Here is an 18,862-nt window from a genome sequence, read left to right as displayed (position 1 = left end):
GTTTAAAAAAGCTTCCCTTGCTTATGCCTTCTCAGATATGCCTATGGTCTGCCGTAGCACACATATCCAGAAATGCAATCCCTTATTCTTCCTGAATAAACTCTTTGTTTTGGAGAGTTGATCTCTGTGTCACTCATGTTAGGTTGACAGGTCAAACAGAGGATGAGTTAGAGCTCTGGGCACCTATGGTCCACTGACAACAGTAAGCTTGAGCCAGATGCATGCCCTGCATCAAGTCTCCCAGTCTGTGTCTTAACAATGGTGCCACCATCAGTTTACAGAATCCAAGTAGTAGGGATTAAAAGCAGTGGAACTGAAACTGTTGGATGAGTTGGGAATCCAGATTTTATTCTGTACTAGCTGTGTGATTCTGAGCATGTTATTTAACTTTTTTAAGCTTCATTTTTTTATCTTCAAAATGGAGAGATGGGATTTTTAATGATTATTATATGAGATAACATTTGAAAATTACCAGGAACAGTACCTAGCATATAAGCATTCAATAGGTATTATTATTATTATTATTTGGAGAGATTAAGAGAAGTTAAAATATCTCGCCCAACATCTCATAGAAATCTAGGTTTCAAATCCCAGTATTCTGTAGACCACCTGTTCTTTTGAATATGCTATACTACATTCTTAGGTAAAAGGGGTGAGTGTCCAAGAATAAAACCAATGTGGTGATGAATTTATTTGATGATTAGAGCTTTTGACCTAGGAACACCCTGAGTTTGCCTTATCCTGACACAAACATTTCCAAAATACAACTCAAGCCCAAAGTGTGTGATAGAAGCAAAACAAGAGAACATTTACAATTTTGTTGAATGCTGCTTTTTTTAAAGGGGAAAAAACACACATAAAGTTAATTGGTACTTTGAATTGCAAAATATTGACACTTAAGTAAATTTAACTCACAAAAAGGAAGTTATATCAAAGTCCAAAATGCTGAGGGGAAAGTAATCAGCCCTTACATTGTATGCAATAGTAAATTAAATTGAAATAGTTATTTCTGTAGTGTTCAAGCTGTGACTTTAATTATCCTCAAGTCTGAGAGTTCTAAGTTAAAGTTTTCACAGTAACCGTAATTTTTGTCCCATTAAAAAGCTAACAGAATTAGCTTTATTTTAGACTTTCCCAGATTAGAAATGGCTTGAGCCTGTTGAGTTGGTTTGTAGTGACATCTGGAATTATAAAGCTGCCTTTTAACGTATTTAAATGTTTAGTTATGAGTATTTTTAAATTTTAAAACCTCTTGCTTTTTATTAAAATTTGTCAGATATATCAGTTAGCTAAGAACTATTTATTGGGTACTGTATTAGTCCATTCTCACACTGCTATAAAGATACTACCAGAGACTGGGTAATTTATAAACAAAGGAGGTTTAATTGACTTACAGTTCCACATGGCCTCAGGAAACTTACAATCATGGCAGAAGGGGAAGCAGGCACCTTCTTCACAAGCTGGCAGGTAAGAGTGTGAGCATGTGAAGGAGGAACTGTCAAACACTTATAAAACCATCAGATCTCATGAGAACTTACTATCATGAGAACGGCATGGGGGAAACTGCCCGCACGATCCAATCACCTCCCACTGGGTCCCTCCCTTGACACGTGAGGATTATGGGGATTACAATTCAAGATGAGATTTGTGTGGGAACACAGCCAAACCATATCAGGTACATATTATATGTCAGCCTTAGTGGCAAATGCTAAAAAGGTAGAAAGGAAGAAATACAAGCAGGGAGAGAGAAGAAAAGAATACACAAATGCATTAATTACTAACCGTGTGTGTGTGTGTGTGTGTGTGTGTGTGTTCATGCACATGGACATATGTGAACATGGCCTTTTAGGAGCCCAGTGTGACAAGGAAGTGACAACTTCAATTTAAATGAGAATTGAATGTATCACTAATCAAATATGGCACTTTTGGAGAAAGTCCATCATTTCCAGTAGCAGATGTCAGTGAATGGCCTTTGATGTTTCAGGCCCAATGGTTGGGGAGGAAATCCCTGCCAGAGAGTTCCTAAACAAGTGAGAGTTGAAGTCAGAGCCCAAATACCTTCCTAGGACAATGACTAGGAGTCTAATATTTGCAGGCATGGCAGAGGCCCTAGGGCAGGGCTTCAAAAACAAAAAAAATCCAAGAATCTTATTGACCTAAAAGGACACTAAAGGGTGGCAGACAAGAAGAACATAAAAATAAGAGCAAACAACCTTTGTTGATTGTATACTGAGGTTAATGTGAAATATTGAAATAGCCAATATATTCTTCCTCACTTAAAAATTGCATTGCTATGTGTCTGGCTACCCCATGAAAATAATGGATTTCAGTATTTCAAGGGGAGACAAGATACCACCTTGAATACAAAGTTATTCCTGGGATTTGAGTGTGAAACTAGATTTTATTCCTGTTATTAAGGCCATGGAAAGATGATGGGTTTTAAAGCCAGTCTTTGAAAATCTTCACTTTACATACTAAGATACAAGTACAGGAACTCATTGTAAATGAATTTAACTACTAACCATAGATGGGGTAAAAAAGCTTGACATGGAAGACATTCATAGCAGAACTGCACAGTCCAGTACAGTAGACAATTGTGGTATGTGGTTATGGCATATAGTAAGTCCAATCTGAGATGCATCATAAGTTTCAAAGACAGTATAAATAGAGTAATGTAAAATATTTTGTTAATATTTTATGTTGATTATATTTAGAAATGATAATATTTTAGATATATTCAGTTAAATGAAATATATTTAAATTGATTTTGCCTGTTCATTTTTACTATTTTTAATATAGCTACTAGAAAATGTTAAGTCACATATGTAGCTTGAATTTGTGGCTTGTGTTACATTTGTATTCGGGCTATCTCAAAGGGGAAGGAAGGAGAGAATGGGCATGTCAGAGTTCTGCCCTATCTAGGGTGATCACATCATTTCTTATTCATACCAGGATATTTGGAGAATAAAAATGGGCACTGTAGACAATGATTTTGGGACAAGTGGCATTAACTGGGACTGTCCTAGACAGTGAGATATGAGGTCAACTTCCCAATGAATAAGGTAACTGTGAATGCCAAAGAGAAAGGGCAGGTGAGAACTGTCACAGATGAGTTTGTTTTAGGGAGATTTATTTTTCCATGCATTAAACAAAAAACTGAAGTTTGTCCCACCTGCTTCATGCTCTTCCTTCTCTTAGAAAATATCTATAGCTTTCTATTTTTGAGGAGGATTTCAGACTAAAATCCAAGTTCCAAGAACTTCTTGGATGGTAGACATTACTATGAAGCATTTGGATATATTAAATCTAAGTCCATCAGAAACATACGGATTACATTTCCCTTTAAAACACAAACACACTTAACATTTAATGAGAAAAGTATTTGGCAAGGGGCTTCCAAATACTTTTCTTTGGTTTTGTTAAATCCCCAGTGTTTGCATGCACGTAGACACATGATCATTTAGGGGATGCTCTTCACATGAATGACAGGCTTGCTTTCCTCTGCCAGAAAGCAGGCTCAGCTTTCTTGATGTACACCCGGGTCCCTTGCTTAAGAGCTCGATCCCAAAGACCTTGAAGAACTAAAAATGTCCTCTAATCTGAAATTTGGAGAGTCTAAAGGCAGGTGGAAGAATCTGACACACTGAGGAAGTGTGGCCTTTTGTAGCATCTCCCCTAAATAGAACCATGGACATGGGGACACAGGGAAACATGGGAGTAGAGAGAATCGATATTCTCAACAGCCAAGCTCTGCCTTTTTTCAGGGTGGTGAGGAGACTGGAGAGGGGACTTGTTCCCTACTCTCTCCTCCTCAGCCCCACTTCGTGACCCTGAAATGTCCTTTCAGTATTTGTGTTTTAATTCAAGACTCCCAGCATCACAGTAAGCACTCATGTCCGTATCAGCAGCCTGAGCTGAAATACGCAGGGTATTAGTCTGCTCTCATGCTGCTAATAAAGACATACCTGAAACTGGGTAATTTATAAAGGAAAGAGGTTTAATGGACTCACAGTTCCACATGGCTGGGGGAGGCCTCCCAATCATGGGGGCAGGCAAATGAGGAGCAGAGTCATATCTTACATGGTGGCAGGCAAGAGAGTGTGTGCAGGAGAGGCCCTTTGTAAAACCATCAGATCTCAGGAAACTTATTTACTATCATGAGAACAGCATGGGACAGACCTACCCCCCTGATTCATTTACCTCCCACTGGATCCCTCCATGACACATGGGAATTATAGGAGCTACAAGTCAAGATGAGATTTGGCTGGGGACACAGCCAAACCATATCATGCAGTCATTATTATTACACTTCTCCTCTTTAAGTTTGAGCATGCTGATTCCCTTGATGGAAATATCTTGTCCCTCCTTTTCCCAGCTGGCTCCTCTCACTGCCCTAGTGGGAACAGTTCAGATGCTTCTCTCCCTTAGGAAGTGTCTCCTGATTGTCTCAGAAGGCATGGAATCCTCCCTGGAAGGCCTCTTCAAGCCTTTATCAGAATGCTTTCTCATAATGAACTGTGGTCATTGCCTTCCTCAGCCACCTCCCCACTCCGTGGGAGCCCCTTCAGGGAAGGAGGAACCTATGTCCCCATCTTCAGGGTCTGTCATGTGATAGCTGCTCATTAAACTTTCATATTTCATAGTTTCTTTTATCATTGGAGAATCACTTTGACAAACAGGAAATGTAACCTGACAAAAACCTGAAGAGGTTGACAGGTGACTAATAAATTCCCATTTTATTCATGAGAAAATTGAAAACTCTGAAATGCTGAGTGACTTTCCTAACACCCAGTCCAGGACTGCAGGAGCTAAAAGTAGAGACCAATATTTACTCCAGGAGATAATAGTAGGGCTCAGTATTTACTCCAAGGATCGGTTTTTCGGGTTATTTTTCCCCACTAAACTTGCCAGTTTTTTTTTTGAATTAAACACAGACACATCAGGCCACAGCCAGACATGTTTTGAATTTTGGATCTGATCTTAGTTTAAAAAGAAGGGTTTTGACTCTAGTGAAGGCTGATGGAAAGAGGCCTGTGAAAAATAGAAAGGCTTTTAGTAAGATGTTCTCAAAGAGGTCGGGGATCTCATAAGACAGGGGTTCAAGGTCTGTGGGTGGGATAGCTGAGGTCCATGAAACCCTAGGTTGGGGGCAAAATCTTGTGAGTATTTCTCTGGGGGGAGGATATGAAAGTTTATTCTTCAAAGGGAAGCAGATCCGACTAGTTAAGGTGAGAATATCTAAAGCCTCCTTCTACCCCTGGGCAGAGAGAATGTTTTGCACTTTCTTGAGGATCAAGCTATTGCCTATGGGCCAATTTCCTCCTGCAAGCCCCTCCCAGGGCCAGTGGATGCCAAGGCCTCTAAGGAGGGGTCTGTGCAGCCTGCTGGCATCTTGTGTATCAACACTTTTGCTTTGCAGGCAAGCTAATCTGTCCCTTAAGCTGCTTGGCTGAGATTCTTTGCCAGATCTGATAGGAGAATTTAACCTTTCCTTTTTCTCTTTTGGCCCACACTCAATGGAATCCAAATAAAGAATGAAAGAGACTTGAAAGGGAATTTCCATTACCAAATAATTCAGTTTAAATTTCCGACCTTTCCTCTACCTATTTTTTTTTTCCATTCCCTCCTTTCTTCCTCCTCAACATTTGGAACTCAGAGCTGGCATAAAACCTTGTGGGGACATGTGGAAAGCCAGAGACCAGGAACGTGAGTGGAATTTTCCAAATTAAGGTGGATTATTGGTCTTCATTGCCAAGCAAAGTGGAGAGGCCTGGCTTTTTGGCAATGACTTGGAGCAGGAGTGCTTCAACATCTGGAAGAGGGTTTTGGCTTTCATGTCTGGAGTGACACATATTCTGGCTTCATGGAACACTTTGCATTCTTTGCTACCCATCCTGCACTGTCCTAGCACCGAGTCATTGCTCCTGCTGCTCATAGAACATAACATCAAAAAGTGTTCAGTGAACAGCTATGAGGTCAGATATTGTCCTGAAATCTCAGGGTAACAGTCATAGCTAGAATTCATTGGGAACCTATCTTTGCCCAGTATTGTGCCAGCTTAACAATACTAAGAGGTAGGTCCAACTTATTTTCCCATTTGATAAGAGGATACTGATTGACAGAGAGTAAAATACATCTCCAAGCTCTCATAGACAAGATGTAGAAGAACCAGATTGCAAATATAGACAGTCTGGGTCGAGAACTAGCCAAGAGTAATCAGAGTGGAAAGAAAGCTTAGCACAGAAACACGGAAAGGAATTAACAAATTGTACTTACCACGATGGGGAGGTGAAGGAGTCAGAATAACAAAACTAATTCATGTTTTAAATCTAAGTTTTAAAAACAACATTTGTTTCTTCTTGCCCTGATTATAAAACAATAGCCCATGTTTATGATAATGGCTTTGGAATTACTCCCCCAAAGGTAGCTGATATGGAAGATTTTATAAGACAGTTTTTTTTCAAATTTACTATGAAAAGTGAATTCACATCCTATATAAAGATATATAGAATTTGGATGAAAATATTCAATATTCTTTATAATAATGATAGCTAACATTTATTGAGTGCTTACCAAATGTCAGCTACTGTTCTAAGCTTTTTACCTATGTTAGCTCTTGTCATTCCTTCAATAGTCCTGTGAGATAATTGCTATTATTATCCTTCTTTTACAGGTGAAGTGAAGTGGGTGTGCCTGGGATCACACACAGCTGGTGAGTGGTAGAGCCAAGTTTCAAATCCATGCAGCCTGGCTCCACAGCCCACGCTCACAGTCACTCATCAACACCTTTCCATGCTATGGGTTCAAGAGTCCTTTCTTTAGTGGTTGTTTTTTTCTCCATGCCTGTTCAGTTGGTCAATGTAGCCGTGTATGCCAAAAGCTGTACAAGATCTGGAAATAGCCAAACGTGTTTTTGTGAGGACTTTGCAACAGAAATTAAAGGCAGTTTATAGCAAAGACTGAGAGAAGGTGCTGAGTGATGCATGTGACACAAGGGGGAGTGATTGAGAGTTATTCTTGCCCAGTGGAAATCAATTTCATCCTGATTGTGCCCCCCAGGTAGAAAGTGTGATCTATCAACATTTGTTGAATAAATGAATTAGTGGCTAGTATAGCTGGTTGCAAGTACTGGGAATACAGTATGGGAAAGACCTTGAAATAAGTGGTGGTGTTTGTTTTTCCTTCAATCATTTGGAGATGTTTCTGAGAGGGCATATTTGGAAAGTATACTTAAGAGCAGTAGTTCATAGCAGACTTAAAATTACAAACAAAAATATCAACACAAGCCACTGGGCAATCTGAAGACTGTTGGATGTAATTAGGTAATGAGTCAGTGCCTCCCCATTGCACAGTGTGGGGTCATCAAGTGTTGAGTATTGGGATTGGTACACATCTCTGTACTTCCCTGACAATTACAGTCCTAAGCAAAACCCGTTAGAACAACAAGGCATCATTTGTCTTTCAGAACTAATTCTAACTGTCATTGCTCCCCTTGAGGTTGCATTTATTTTTCTAATTTCAGAAAGTTATTTATTCATTTATTTATTTTGCTTTAAGTTCTGGGATACATGTGCAGGACATGCAGGTTTGTTATATAGGTACACATGTGCCATGCTGGTTTGCTGCACCTATCAACCCGTCATCTAGGTTTTAAGCCCCACATGCATCAGGTATTTGTCATAATGCTCTCCCTCCTCTTGCCCCCAGCCCCCGAATGGCCCCAGTGTGCGATGTTCCCCTCCCTATGTCCATGTGTTCTCATTGTTCAACTCCCACTTATGAGTGAGAACATGCAGTGTTTGGTTTTCTGTTCCTGTGGTAGTTTGCTGAGAATGATGGCTTCCAGCTTCATCCATGCTCCTGCATCCTACATCATTATGACAGAAACAAGTGAGTGCTGTTGTGGCCAGAGGACATGTTGGGAACAGACCAACAGAGCTGGCTGTATGTGTGAGTTCCAACTCTCCTGCATTTCAAGTGTGTGACATCAGTCAAGTCACTAAACTTCTTTAGGTTCTTCTGTTTTATTTTACTGGCATAGGGTAGGTACTGAATGACTTATTTATTGAAGGAATGCATGGGTTAATAAAAACTAGTCCTCACTTATTTCAAGGTTAATATAATGAAAAAATGCTCAACTAGGTATGGAAAAACTGTGTAAGTGGAGTCCTAACTCAGTGTTGTAGCCAAGGAGAGCTCTAGTGTATGGCAAGATGAAGACTTTCTTTGGTTTGGTCTTTGAATACTTTTGTCAGTGTGTCCATGGACATGTAATCCCCTTCTCTAGAGGTAACAGGAGTCTGAGGGAGAAGCCTCCAAACATCAACAGCCTTAGAGAAGGAGCCCCCCAACATCAGCAGCCTTAGAGCAGGAGCAGCCTGTATTGTGAAAGTATTCTATTTCCATTGATTGAATAACTGATAGATAAAGCTAGCTTCATTTTGTAATGTCCCACCAAACAAGTTATAAAATACATATTTATGAATTTGTCTCAGGCTGAAGTCTCACTAGCTGTTAGAGAGGATTTTAAAAGCATATGTGTATTGTATCGTGGCTAAACGTGGGTAAACTGAAGTTTGCTGCTATCATTTAGTTTGCTAAAAATTGTCATTTAGTAATATGACAAAAGCCTAAAAACAAATGACATGGCTTATTATATAAAGTCAGTCTCACCCATCCACTTTACAGATTCACTCCTTATTTGGAGGCCTTTCATATTCTAGGCACATAGTTGAATCTTATGCATTCACAGCGTCTCTGAGACCTTGTTACAATATAGCTATCTAGCACCCTAAGAGTGTTCTGTAACTCTGGACATTAACTAGAAAGTTCTAAAAATATATTTGTCTTAACTATATAGAAGGCATGAATTCAATAAATGCATTTGTCTTTTAAAGAGATATTTTATGCACAAGTAAGAACTCTGTAAACATATGTTTACTGATTGACATATGTAGAAGATACCCGTAGTATTTTTTTGAAGACTAATACATACAAGGCCCGGTGCCAAATGCTTTATATGTATGTATTAGGTTATTTCTTGCTGCATAAGAAATTGCTACAACTTATCAGACTAAAACAGCACACATTTATTATCTGTCAATTTCTATGGGTCAGAAGTCTTAGCTGAGTCCTCTGCTCTGGAACTGACAAGGCTGCAATCAAGGTGTCACCTGGGCTGCATTCTCATCTGGAGACTCAACTAAGGAAGAATCTACTTCCAAGATTTCTCAGGTTGTTTCCTTGTGGCTTCATGACTGAAGGCCCTGGCCTCTTACTGATGGTCAGCTGGAGGCTACCTCAGCTCCTAGGGGCTGCCTGTAGTTACTGGCTGCGTGGCCCCTTCATGGCAGCTCACAACATGGCTGTTTGTTTCTTCAAGGCCAGCAGGAGAATCTTTCTTTTTGCTCTGCTAAAACAAAGTCTTATATCAGGGATGTCCACTCTTTAGGCTTCCCTGGACCACACTGGAAGAAGAATTTTCTTGGGCCACACATAAAATACACTAACACAAATGATAGCTGATGCACTAAACAAAAATCACACAAAAACTAAAACTCTCTTAATATTTTAAGAAAGTTCACAAATTTGTGTTGGGCCACATTCAAAGCTGTCCTGGGCTACATGCAGTCCTCAGGTTGCCAGTTGGACTAGCTTGTCTTATATAATGGAACTTAATCACAGGAATGATAGCCCATTGCCATTGACATGTTATTAGTTAGAAGCAAGTCACAGGTGCCTTCCACACTCAGGGGTAGGGGATTACAAAAAACATGACACCAGAGGGCAGAGATTATAGGGGGCATAGTAGAATTCTACCTACCCAAATGCATAACCTCATTTGATTATTAGCAATAGCCTCATGAGGCACATTCTATCATTGTTATATATTAGCATATAGAACTAAGGAAACAGGGCTAGCTTAAAAAGCCAAGATAACCCATCCAGATGAATAAACCAGAGCAAGTGCTTTGACCCCTGTATTTTGTTGTAACACATGGGACCTTAACCACCTGCATTCAAACCACATCTGTACTTCTGCTTTAAGTGACTGAGTGAAGATCTGTTATTTGCTGTATGCTGGACTCTGTTCCCATATATACATTTTCTCTTTTCACTGGGACACAACTCCAATAGGGAGCTGTTATAATCACTGTTTTACAGAGGATAAAACATATATAAACATACGTAACATATATAACATATGGAACAAAAATAAAAGAGGTTATTGCTTTCTGACTTTGGGCAAGTTACTTAACTTATCTGAGCCCATTCATCTGTACAAAGGGGAATAATAGTAATTATTTCATAGAATTGTTGTGAGGATTAAATGAGGTAATATAAGCATATCAGTTAGCAGAATGTCTGACCCAGACTATTAACTAAATAAATGCTATATAGCATTTTTTTAAGATTGGTAAATTTTGCCTGTCTAGCTTTAATGATTTATAGGCTGGGCGCAGTGGCTCATACCTGTAATCCCAGCACTTTGGGAGGCAGAGGTGGGCGGATCACAAGGACAAGAGATTGAGACCATCTGGCCCACGTGGTGAAACCCTGTATTTACTACAAATACAAAAATTAGCTGGGTGTGGTGGTGTGCACCTGTAGTCCCAGCTACCTGGGAGGCTGAGGCCAGAGAATCACTTGAACCTGGGAGGCGGAGGTTGCAGTCAGCCGAGATCATGCCACTGCACTCCAGCCTGGGCAACAGCAAGACTCTATCTCAAAAAAGAAAAGAAAAAGGATTTATAATTTAACAGTGTGAGAGTAGAACAAAACAAGTTGTTTTTAAGAACCTACATTTCTTTTTCCTCTAGCAGATAATGGAGAAATATTCTGTGCCTGCCATTCTGCTCCTGATAATTTCTTTCAGATATGCTCTTCTCTTCTATTACTGCAAAGGCCTCTTGGAGGTCAACTAAAACCTGGGCGGGTTTCGTGGCCATCATATGTCACCAGTCCTTCTCTGGGGCCTCTCAAGCCTCTTTGTTTTTCTCTTCAGCCTCCATCCCTTCCTCCTTCCCTTTCTCCTTTGGTCTTCTCTGTTACCTGCTTCCCCATCCAGTAGGACTCCATTAATGCAGATTAAATAGAGAAACTAGTCCCTCAGTTAAAGCTGTTCTAATGAACGGATACTCTGCTGCCAACCTTGTACCAAGCTCTCCAGATGCAGAGAATAACCAGAACTAGCCTCTGTCCTCCAAGTCTATGGGAGATTAACTTGGGAAATCTTTTCTAAGCATGTCAAAATTTTCAGGAGCTTTCCTGAGGTTAACAAGGAGATGGAAATCAGGGCTGGTGACAATATAGGTTTCTAGAAAAGGCATTAATTTTGGCATTGGGCCAGCCTGGGCACCAATCCCACCTTTGTCTCTTGCTAGTTATGTGACCTTGCTCAATAAATTGTTTAATTTCTCTGAACCTCTGTTTCCTCACCCATAAAAGAGGGATAATAGTAATTCCTTCCTCAATATTGTTTTGTACCCAAAGAATGAAATCATCCAATAAAAGTGCAGCATGAATTGAGAAAGGCTCTGAAAATAGGAATTAAGATATAGGAGTGAGATAAACTGAAGAAAAAGCCAACAATTGCAAAAATCTTAACCTTGAAAAAAATTCATGAAATTTACATTTTATCTCAAGGCAATTATCACTTCATCAACCCTTCTTTATCTTTCCGATGAAAATCCTTTAAAAACTGTGGTCACACAATGAAAATGTGGTTTCTAAGCATGGAAAAACTTGCTTTGAAACCATGAATCATCTATTATTATTATTATTATTTTAGATTAAGAGGCAGGAGAATGATGTGTGTTGTGAAACACTCCCCACATCTGGAGGCATAATTTTCATCTTCCGTTTATAGTTTCAGCTGTAGTTATTCAAATCTCAGTCTGCATTAGCAACGTCATTGGGATTCCAAGAAAACATTTTAGATGCCTCTCATTTAATCAATTGTAACAACCCATAATAGAAAGTCCGCCCTTAAAAGCAGGACTCTTGTGGATAATGAGTTAGAATAATAAAAAATAGTAATGCAATTTGTGGGAAGAATTCAGTGTGGTTAATCGTTATTTGATTTTGAAGACAAGATTAAATTAGTGTTGTCCCTTATGTCGTTATGTCAACAAATTAAATCTGGGTAAACCCCACCCTATTTTCCATGGGACAGTGACAGATGGAGCAAATGCATGCTTGTTTTGTTTTGCTTTGTTCTTGTTAAAAAAAAAATTCTGATCAGATTCTTTAGTTGGTTCTGGTTCCACAGAGCTTTTCTTCATATATTTTCATTGTGCATTTTATCAACAGAATGTGATTTTTTCCCCATCTTGGGAACAAATACCCAAAAAATAATATTTAATTGCTCATTTCCTCAATCCTCAACCCCTTTATGAAGAAAACAGAAGAATACAAACTACAGTAGAGAACAGCGAAGACTAACAATGCTTATCTGTGGAGAAAACATAAGAATGGCCACAGTTGTACCCTTTTAACCTGAAGATCAACTTGGGGTTAATGTAAAGAAGAAGGATATTTTGTTTTATTCTAATCTGTTTTTAACTCAAGTGGTGTTTTGTGAATTCATTAATTCCCAAGGGATTCATTAATCCGTAAGAAGTCCTAAGCTGTGAACTTCTTAATTTTTGAAGAAAGCATAGCAATTCACTCATGAATTAATGTGGTTTAATGAGAGCTTGATTTGAGGTAGGACAGTCTATCCCATTACAGAAGCCTTTCAGGGAGTACAGGGCATGACTGAACATTTTGTACCATCTTCAGGCAGGGAAAAACATTCCTTGGGCCATGGGTATAAAAGAAAGTTCAGAGTTAGTCAAAGGAATCTGGGCAATTCTAGACTCATGAGAAAGGCTGGGGAAAAATCAGGGGTCTCAGTTGTATAGGCAGAGAACAAAGAAGGAAGCTAACCTTCTTAATTCAAGAATTTTCCCTGACATGCTGTTTTCCACAAAGAAGACCTAAGCTATCAACTTCTTAATTTTTGAAGAAAATATAGGAAGGACCAGATGAAGGTAGGACGGGGTGAGGTAATGGCTCCCATGCATTGATGCTATGCGCTAAGTGTGCTTATTAAGCATTTTAAGAGCATATTTTATTTACTCCTCAAAATTATCCTGTTTCACTGGAACTAAAAGAAGGTAGTTTTGTGTCTCAACATTAATGATCAGGAAACACAGACAAGTGCAAGGTGGCAGGGCTAGTCAGCAATAGCATTTAACACCAAGTTTTCCTGGCTGCAGGGACCCAGCCCTTAACCAATATTCTATTTGTGCTCCTAAGGGGTTTAAATCTGTTTTGTCTCACTAGGAAAAGAACAAGATTCTGCCCTACTCTCTTTTATGCAGATTGCTTTTTTATATAGACACACAGCTTAAATCATATGAACATTTTAATTTCCAAAAATCTGGTATTTTCCACTTGGGTTTCTTTCTACTGGCTACCAAAACCATTCCAATGATATAAGGTTAACTTTTCTTTCCAGATCTCCCATTTGCATTTTGCTTATTCAGCTGTTCTACTGCTGTATCCCAGCATTACTAAAGAATATTTTGTGCTCCCATATACAATTCTAAGCATCTAAATTTTTAGCCAGCAAGATTCCTATATTTGTCACTTACTAAGCTATCATCTCTCAATCTCTCAGCATCAAATCCATCCTTCAATATTTGTCCTCTTAATGCTGGTGCTTGGAACCTGCAAACTCTATTTCTGGTATGCCAGCTGTTAGGATCTGCTGATAAAGAGTGTTAGAGCAAGACTTGAAGGCAGAACAGGACAGAAGGGATTAACTCTTTCTATTTGCCTGTAATTCCTTTCAGTGTGGTTTCAGCTATAGATCTTTACTCCCATAACAGTAACAGACGGTTCCCCCTAACCCTAAGAATGACAGCTGCTTTCTGCAGTTGCAGTCTGGGTTATCTTCAGGTTACCTGTTTGCTTTTTCAGTTGAGTAGCATTTACTTAACTCAGATCTAATAATAAGCTTTCTCTGTTAAAATACCTAGCATGGTTTCTGTTTTTCTGATTGCATCCTGTCTGGCACCTCTCTCAGACTCAATTCTCCTATTGCCCTTTTCAGAGCTTGCAATGAATTACAGAATCTTCAAATTTGGAATAATCTTAAAGGTTGTCAAGTCCAAATTCTGACATAGTAGAGAGGTGTTCTATTTTCAGTTGTTAGATGTTGTGTTAGTTCATTTTCATGCTTCTATGAAGTAATACCCAAGACTGGGAAATTTATGAAGAAAAGAGTTTTAATTGATTCACAGTTCCACATGTCTGGGAGGCCTCAGGAAACTTACAGTCATGGTGGAAGGCAAAGGGGAAGAAAGTCACCTTCTTCGCAGGATAGCAGGAAGGAGAAGTGATGAGCAAAGGGGAAAAAGCCCCTTATAGAACCATTGGATCTCATGAGAACTCACTCAGTATCTCCAGAACAGTATGGGGGTAATCACCCCCATAATTGGATTACCTCCCACCAGGTCCCTCCCATGACACATGGGGATTATGAGAACTACAATTCAAGATGAGATTTTGGTGGGTACACAGCTAAACCATATCATTCCACCCCTGCCCCCTCCCAAATCTCATGTCCTCAAATTTCAAAACACAAGCAAGCCTTTTTAACCATCTGCCATAGTCTTAGCATTAACCCAAAAGTCCAAGTCCAAAGTCTCATTTGACACAAGGCAAGTCATTTCTGTCTATGAGCCTGTAAAATCAAAAGCAAATTAGTTACTTCCTAGATAAAATGGGGGCATTGGGTAAATATACCCTTTCCAAATGGGAGAAAATGGCCGAAACAAAGGGGCTACAGTTCCCATGGAAGTCTGAAATCCAGTGGGGCATTCATTAAACCTTAAAGTTCCAAAATGATATTCTTTCACTCTATGTCTCACATCCAGGGTACACTGATACAAGAGGTGGGCTCTGATGGCCTTGGGCAGCATCACACCTGTGGCTTTGCAGGGTACAGCCTCCTTCTTGGCTGCTTTCCAGGCTGGCATTGAGTGTCTGTGGTGCAAACTGTCAGTGGATCAACAATTCTGGGTTCTGGAAGACAGTGGCCTTCTTCTCACAGCTCCACTAGGCAGTGCCCCAGTGGGAACTCTGTGTGGGGGCTCCAACCCTACATTTCCCTTCTGCACTGCCCTTGCAGAGGTTCTCCATGAGGGCTCTGCCACTGCAGCAGACTTCTGCCAGGACATTCAGGCATTTGCATACATCCTCTGAAATCTAGATGAAGATTTACAAATCTCATTTCTTGTATTCTGTGAACCCACAGGCCCCAAACCATGTGGAAGTTGCCAAGGCTTGGGGTTTGCACCATCTGAAGCAATGGCCTGAGCTTCTCCTTGGCCCCTTTTAGCCACAGTTGGAATAGCTGGGATGCAGGGCATCAAATCCCTAGGCTGCACACAACAAGGAGCCCTGGGCCCAGCCCAGGAAACCATTTTTCCCTCCTAGGCCTCCAGGCTTGTGATGGGAAATGTTGCTGGGAAGGTCTCTTATGCCCTGGAGACATTTTCCCTATTGTCTTGGTGATTAGCATTTGGCTACTAATTACTTATACAAATTTCTGCAGCAAGCTTGAATTTCTCCCCAGAAAATGTGTTTTTTTCCTACTACATTGTCAGGCTGCAAATTTTCCAAACTTTTATGCTCTGTCATCTCTTGAATGCTTTGTTGCTTGCAAATTTCTTCTACAAGACACCCTAAATCATCTCCCTCAAGTTCAAAGTTCCACAGATTTCTAAGGCAGAGACAAAAAGCTTCCAGTCCCTTTGCTAAAGAATTAAGAAGAGTCAACTTTGCTCCAGTTCCCAACAAGGTCCTCATCTTCATCTGAGACCACCTTTGCCTGGACTTCATTGTCCATATCGCTATCAACATTTTGGTCAAACCATTCCACAAGTCTCTAGGAAGTTACAAACTTTCCCACATCTTCCTTTCTTCTAAGCCCCCCAAGTCTCTAGGAAGTTTCAAACTTTCCCACATTTTCCTGTCATCTTCTGAGACCTCCAAACTGTTAAAACCTCTGCCTGTTTCCCAGTTCCAAAGTTGCTTCCACATTTTCGGGTATTCTTATTGCAGCACCCCACTCTCTGTGGTACCAATTTTCTGTATTAGCCTGTTCTCATGCTGCTATGAAGAAATATCTGAGACTGGGTAATTTATTTAAAACATAAAGAAGTTTAATTGACTCAAAATTCCACAGGGCTGGGGAGGCCTCAGGAAACCTACAATCATGGTAGAAGGGGAAGGCAATAAATCCTTCTTCACATGATGGTAGGAAGGAGAAGTGCTGAGCAATAGGGGGAAAAGTCCTTTATAAAACCATCAGATCTCATGAGAACTCACTCACTATCATGAGAACAGCATGAGGGCAACTGCCTCCATGATTCAATTACCTCCTACCAGGTCCCTCCCATGACATGTGGGGATCATGGGAACTAATTCAAGATGAGATTTGGGTTGGGACACAGCCAAACCATATCAGATGTCCACTAATGGACAACTTCTATTAGACAAAGCTTCCAGAGCATTGTGTTTTGGAGAAGTATGAGGTTTTATTGGATTATTTTTTTCCCAAGGAAAAGATGTTTGAGATGCAACATCTCTGTCTTAGTATGGAATGGAGTTAGAGATAGTTATGTATCCAATGCTTTAAGCAATGACAATAACAATAAAACACTTCAGTTATATTCTAACAGTACCTGCCTTTATATGAGATTTTTATGAGAGAAGGCTGTATTTCCTCAATGGTATTTGCTGTTGATGTTCTCAAGCAGAAGCAATATATGTCAGTGTGGAACGAAGACCCCTCATGTGGACTTATGAGAAGTTCTTTAGCCTATTGTGATTCTTGTTATTGGGTTACTTGTACATTGTGAGATAAGGCCAGATGTATGTGCCCTCGTCTTCCACAAAACTTAGATTTATGAGGGATAGATCCATTCATTTTACTCATTCATTTCATTCATTTATTGTTTTACCCAACCATCTGTCTTTTCATATATCTATCCATTCATTATTTTATTTAATTCATTTATTTTCCTGAGATTCTTATCTGCTCTGAATACTATGCTAGACTAGAAGGCAAATTGAAAAAAAAAGATGTCAATTTCAAGGAGCTCTATAGAGAAGTGAAGATGTTTCAGTTGGATAAAATCTGGAAGTGGAGAAAAACCTGATAAAATTAGTAAGAGGAAGGCCTTCTGAAGAGAGAAAAGCTGATGGAAAGTTGCAATGTTGCTGATAGAGGAAATAACATTAAATGATCAGGAAACTAAGAAGTTGGTTTAAAGCTGAGGAACACTGGACAAAAAGAATCCTGATGTAGAGTACGCAAATTACAATGGGCCCCTTTGAAGGAAAGTGAGAAATATATTCATAGATTTATATGTCTGTGTGCATTATTTTAAAGCCTATTGCAGACTTCACAGTGATAATAGAGATTATTAATATTCAACAACAGCTACTATTTAGCACAGATATTAGAGAGTATGACCCATGTTCAATAATAAATGTAAATCTAAGTAAAATTGCTGCTACTCTAGTCAAGAGCTCCTGACCTTCACTCACTTGTACCAACCACCTAAAATAGTGAGTGGTTCAGCCAATTGATGAGTATCTGTCCATTTATTTATTCATTCTATAAATACTTTTTTAAATCCACAATTTGTGGGTCTCTCTAATTTATTCTGGGCTTATAACAGTAATCAAGACTCTTTTCTCTTAAAGCCTAGCTGCAGAAACAATTGACTAAATGTGAAATTTCAGTGAAGCATAGTAAGTATTATTATAGAGGAAGAATGATATGCTTTGGGACCATATAAGCAGCGACACTTTTGATAGCTTAGAAATTCAGACAAGGCTCCTAGAAACGTGACATTAAAGCAGACCTAAATATCTAGTAAGAGTTCATTAGACAGAGATGAGTGATGGAAGATAGGGTTCCAGGCAAAAGTAGAAGCACAGTGAGATTTGGAGTTGGGTGAGAGCTTAACGTTTTGAGAACCTGAAAGAAGTTTATTATGACTGGATTTGATGCTGGGAGAAGGGCTCCAGAAGCACACAGGGATAAAACTTAGAGGGCATTTTATATTGCATCAGGGACTTTTAGAATTTATCTAATGAGTAATTGGAAGTCGTTGGAAGATGCAAGTCAGGAGGGCCGTGATCAAACCTGTAAACAAATTGCATTATAAACAATTAGAGTACCATGAAAGCAGGTAGACTTGTGAGGGGCTGTTGTGTGAGACCTGGTGTGACATAGTTTGGGACCACTTTCATGGAGATGGAACCATTCCAAAGATGTGCTCCTCTGAGGAGACCTTGTTCTGCAGATACAGATGTACATAGGTAAAGTACTGAATCATTAGGAAAGTAAGACTGGGATGTCCGTTGATTTCAAAATGCATTCATATGTGGCTGTGTCTGACTTAGTGACATGAGGTGGACCAGGTAATGAGTAGGAGACAGTTAAAGTAGAAAATTATTTTAAGACTTTGAATATAAAGAGATAGGTAATCGGTAGACACAGCAGGAGCTGGAAGGTAATATGGAGCAATAAAAGCCTTTTGTTTTAATTGGGCAAAGCTGGAATATTTACCTCTTGATGAATAGAAATTAGTTGAAAGGAGATTGGAAAATATATTGGAAAAGGGGACAAATAATTGATGAGACAAGTCCCTAATAAATTTGAAGGTAATGAGATTAAATTTTAGGTGTTTATGAGATAGGATGTGAGATCATCTGCTTTGAAAATAAAAGGAGTTGGAGGGCTAGTTAGTTGAAAATAGTAGGACAAAACACAAGTTTAGATGAATGATAAAAT

General features: G+C 39.4%; 1 long non-coding RNA gene across 1 annotated transcript in view; it reads left to right on the top strand.

The window, feature by feature from the left end:
* LINC00504 (long intergenic non-protein coding RNA 504) overlaps nt 1-18,862 on the top strand; it is a 417,705-nt gene that overhangs the window by 180,715 nt on the left and 218,128 nt on the right. Inside the window, exon 3 of the long non-coding RNA NR_126435.1 lies at nt 6,674-6,712. This is a non-coding gene — a long non-coding RNA (long intergenic non-protein coding RNA 504). The remainder of the gene's footprint in view (nt 1-6,673; nt 6,713-18,862) is intronic.

Source organism: Homo sapiens, chromosome 4, assembly GCF_000001405.40.
Source record: "Homo sapiens chromosome 4, GRCh38.p14 Primary Assembly".
Classification (NCBI taxonomy): domain Eukaryota; kingdom Metazoa; phylum Chordata; class Mammalia; order Primates; family Hominidae; genus Homo; species Homo sapiens.
The sequence above is the reverse complement of the archived record's forward strand: the minus strand, read 5'-3'. Positions and strand labels throughout refer to the sequence as shown.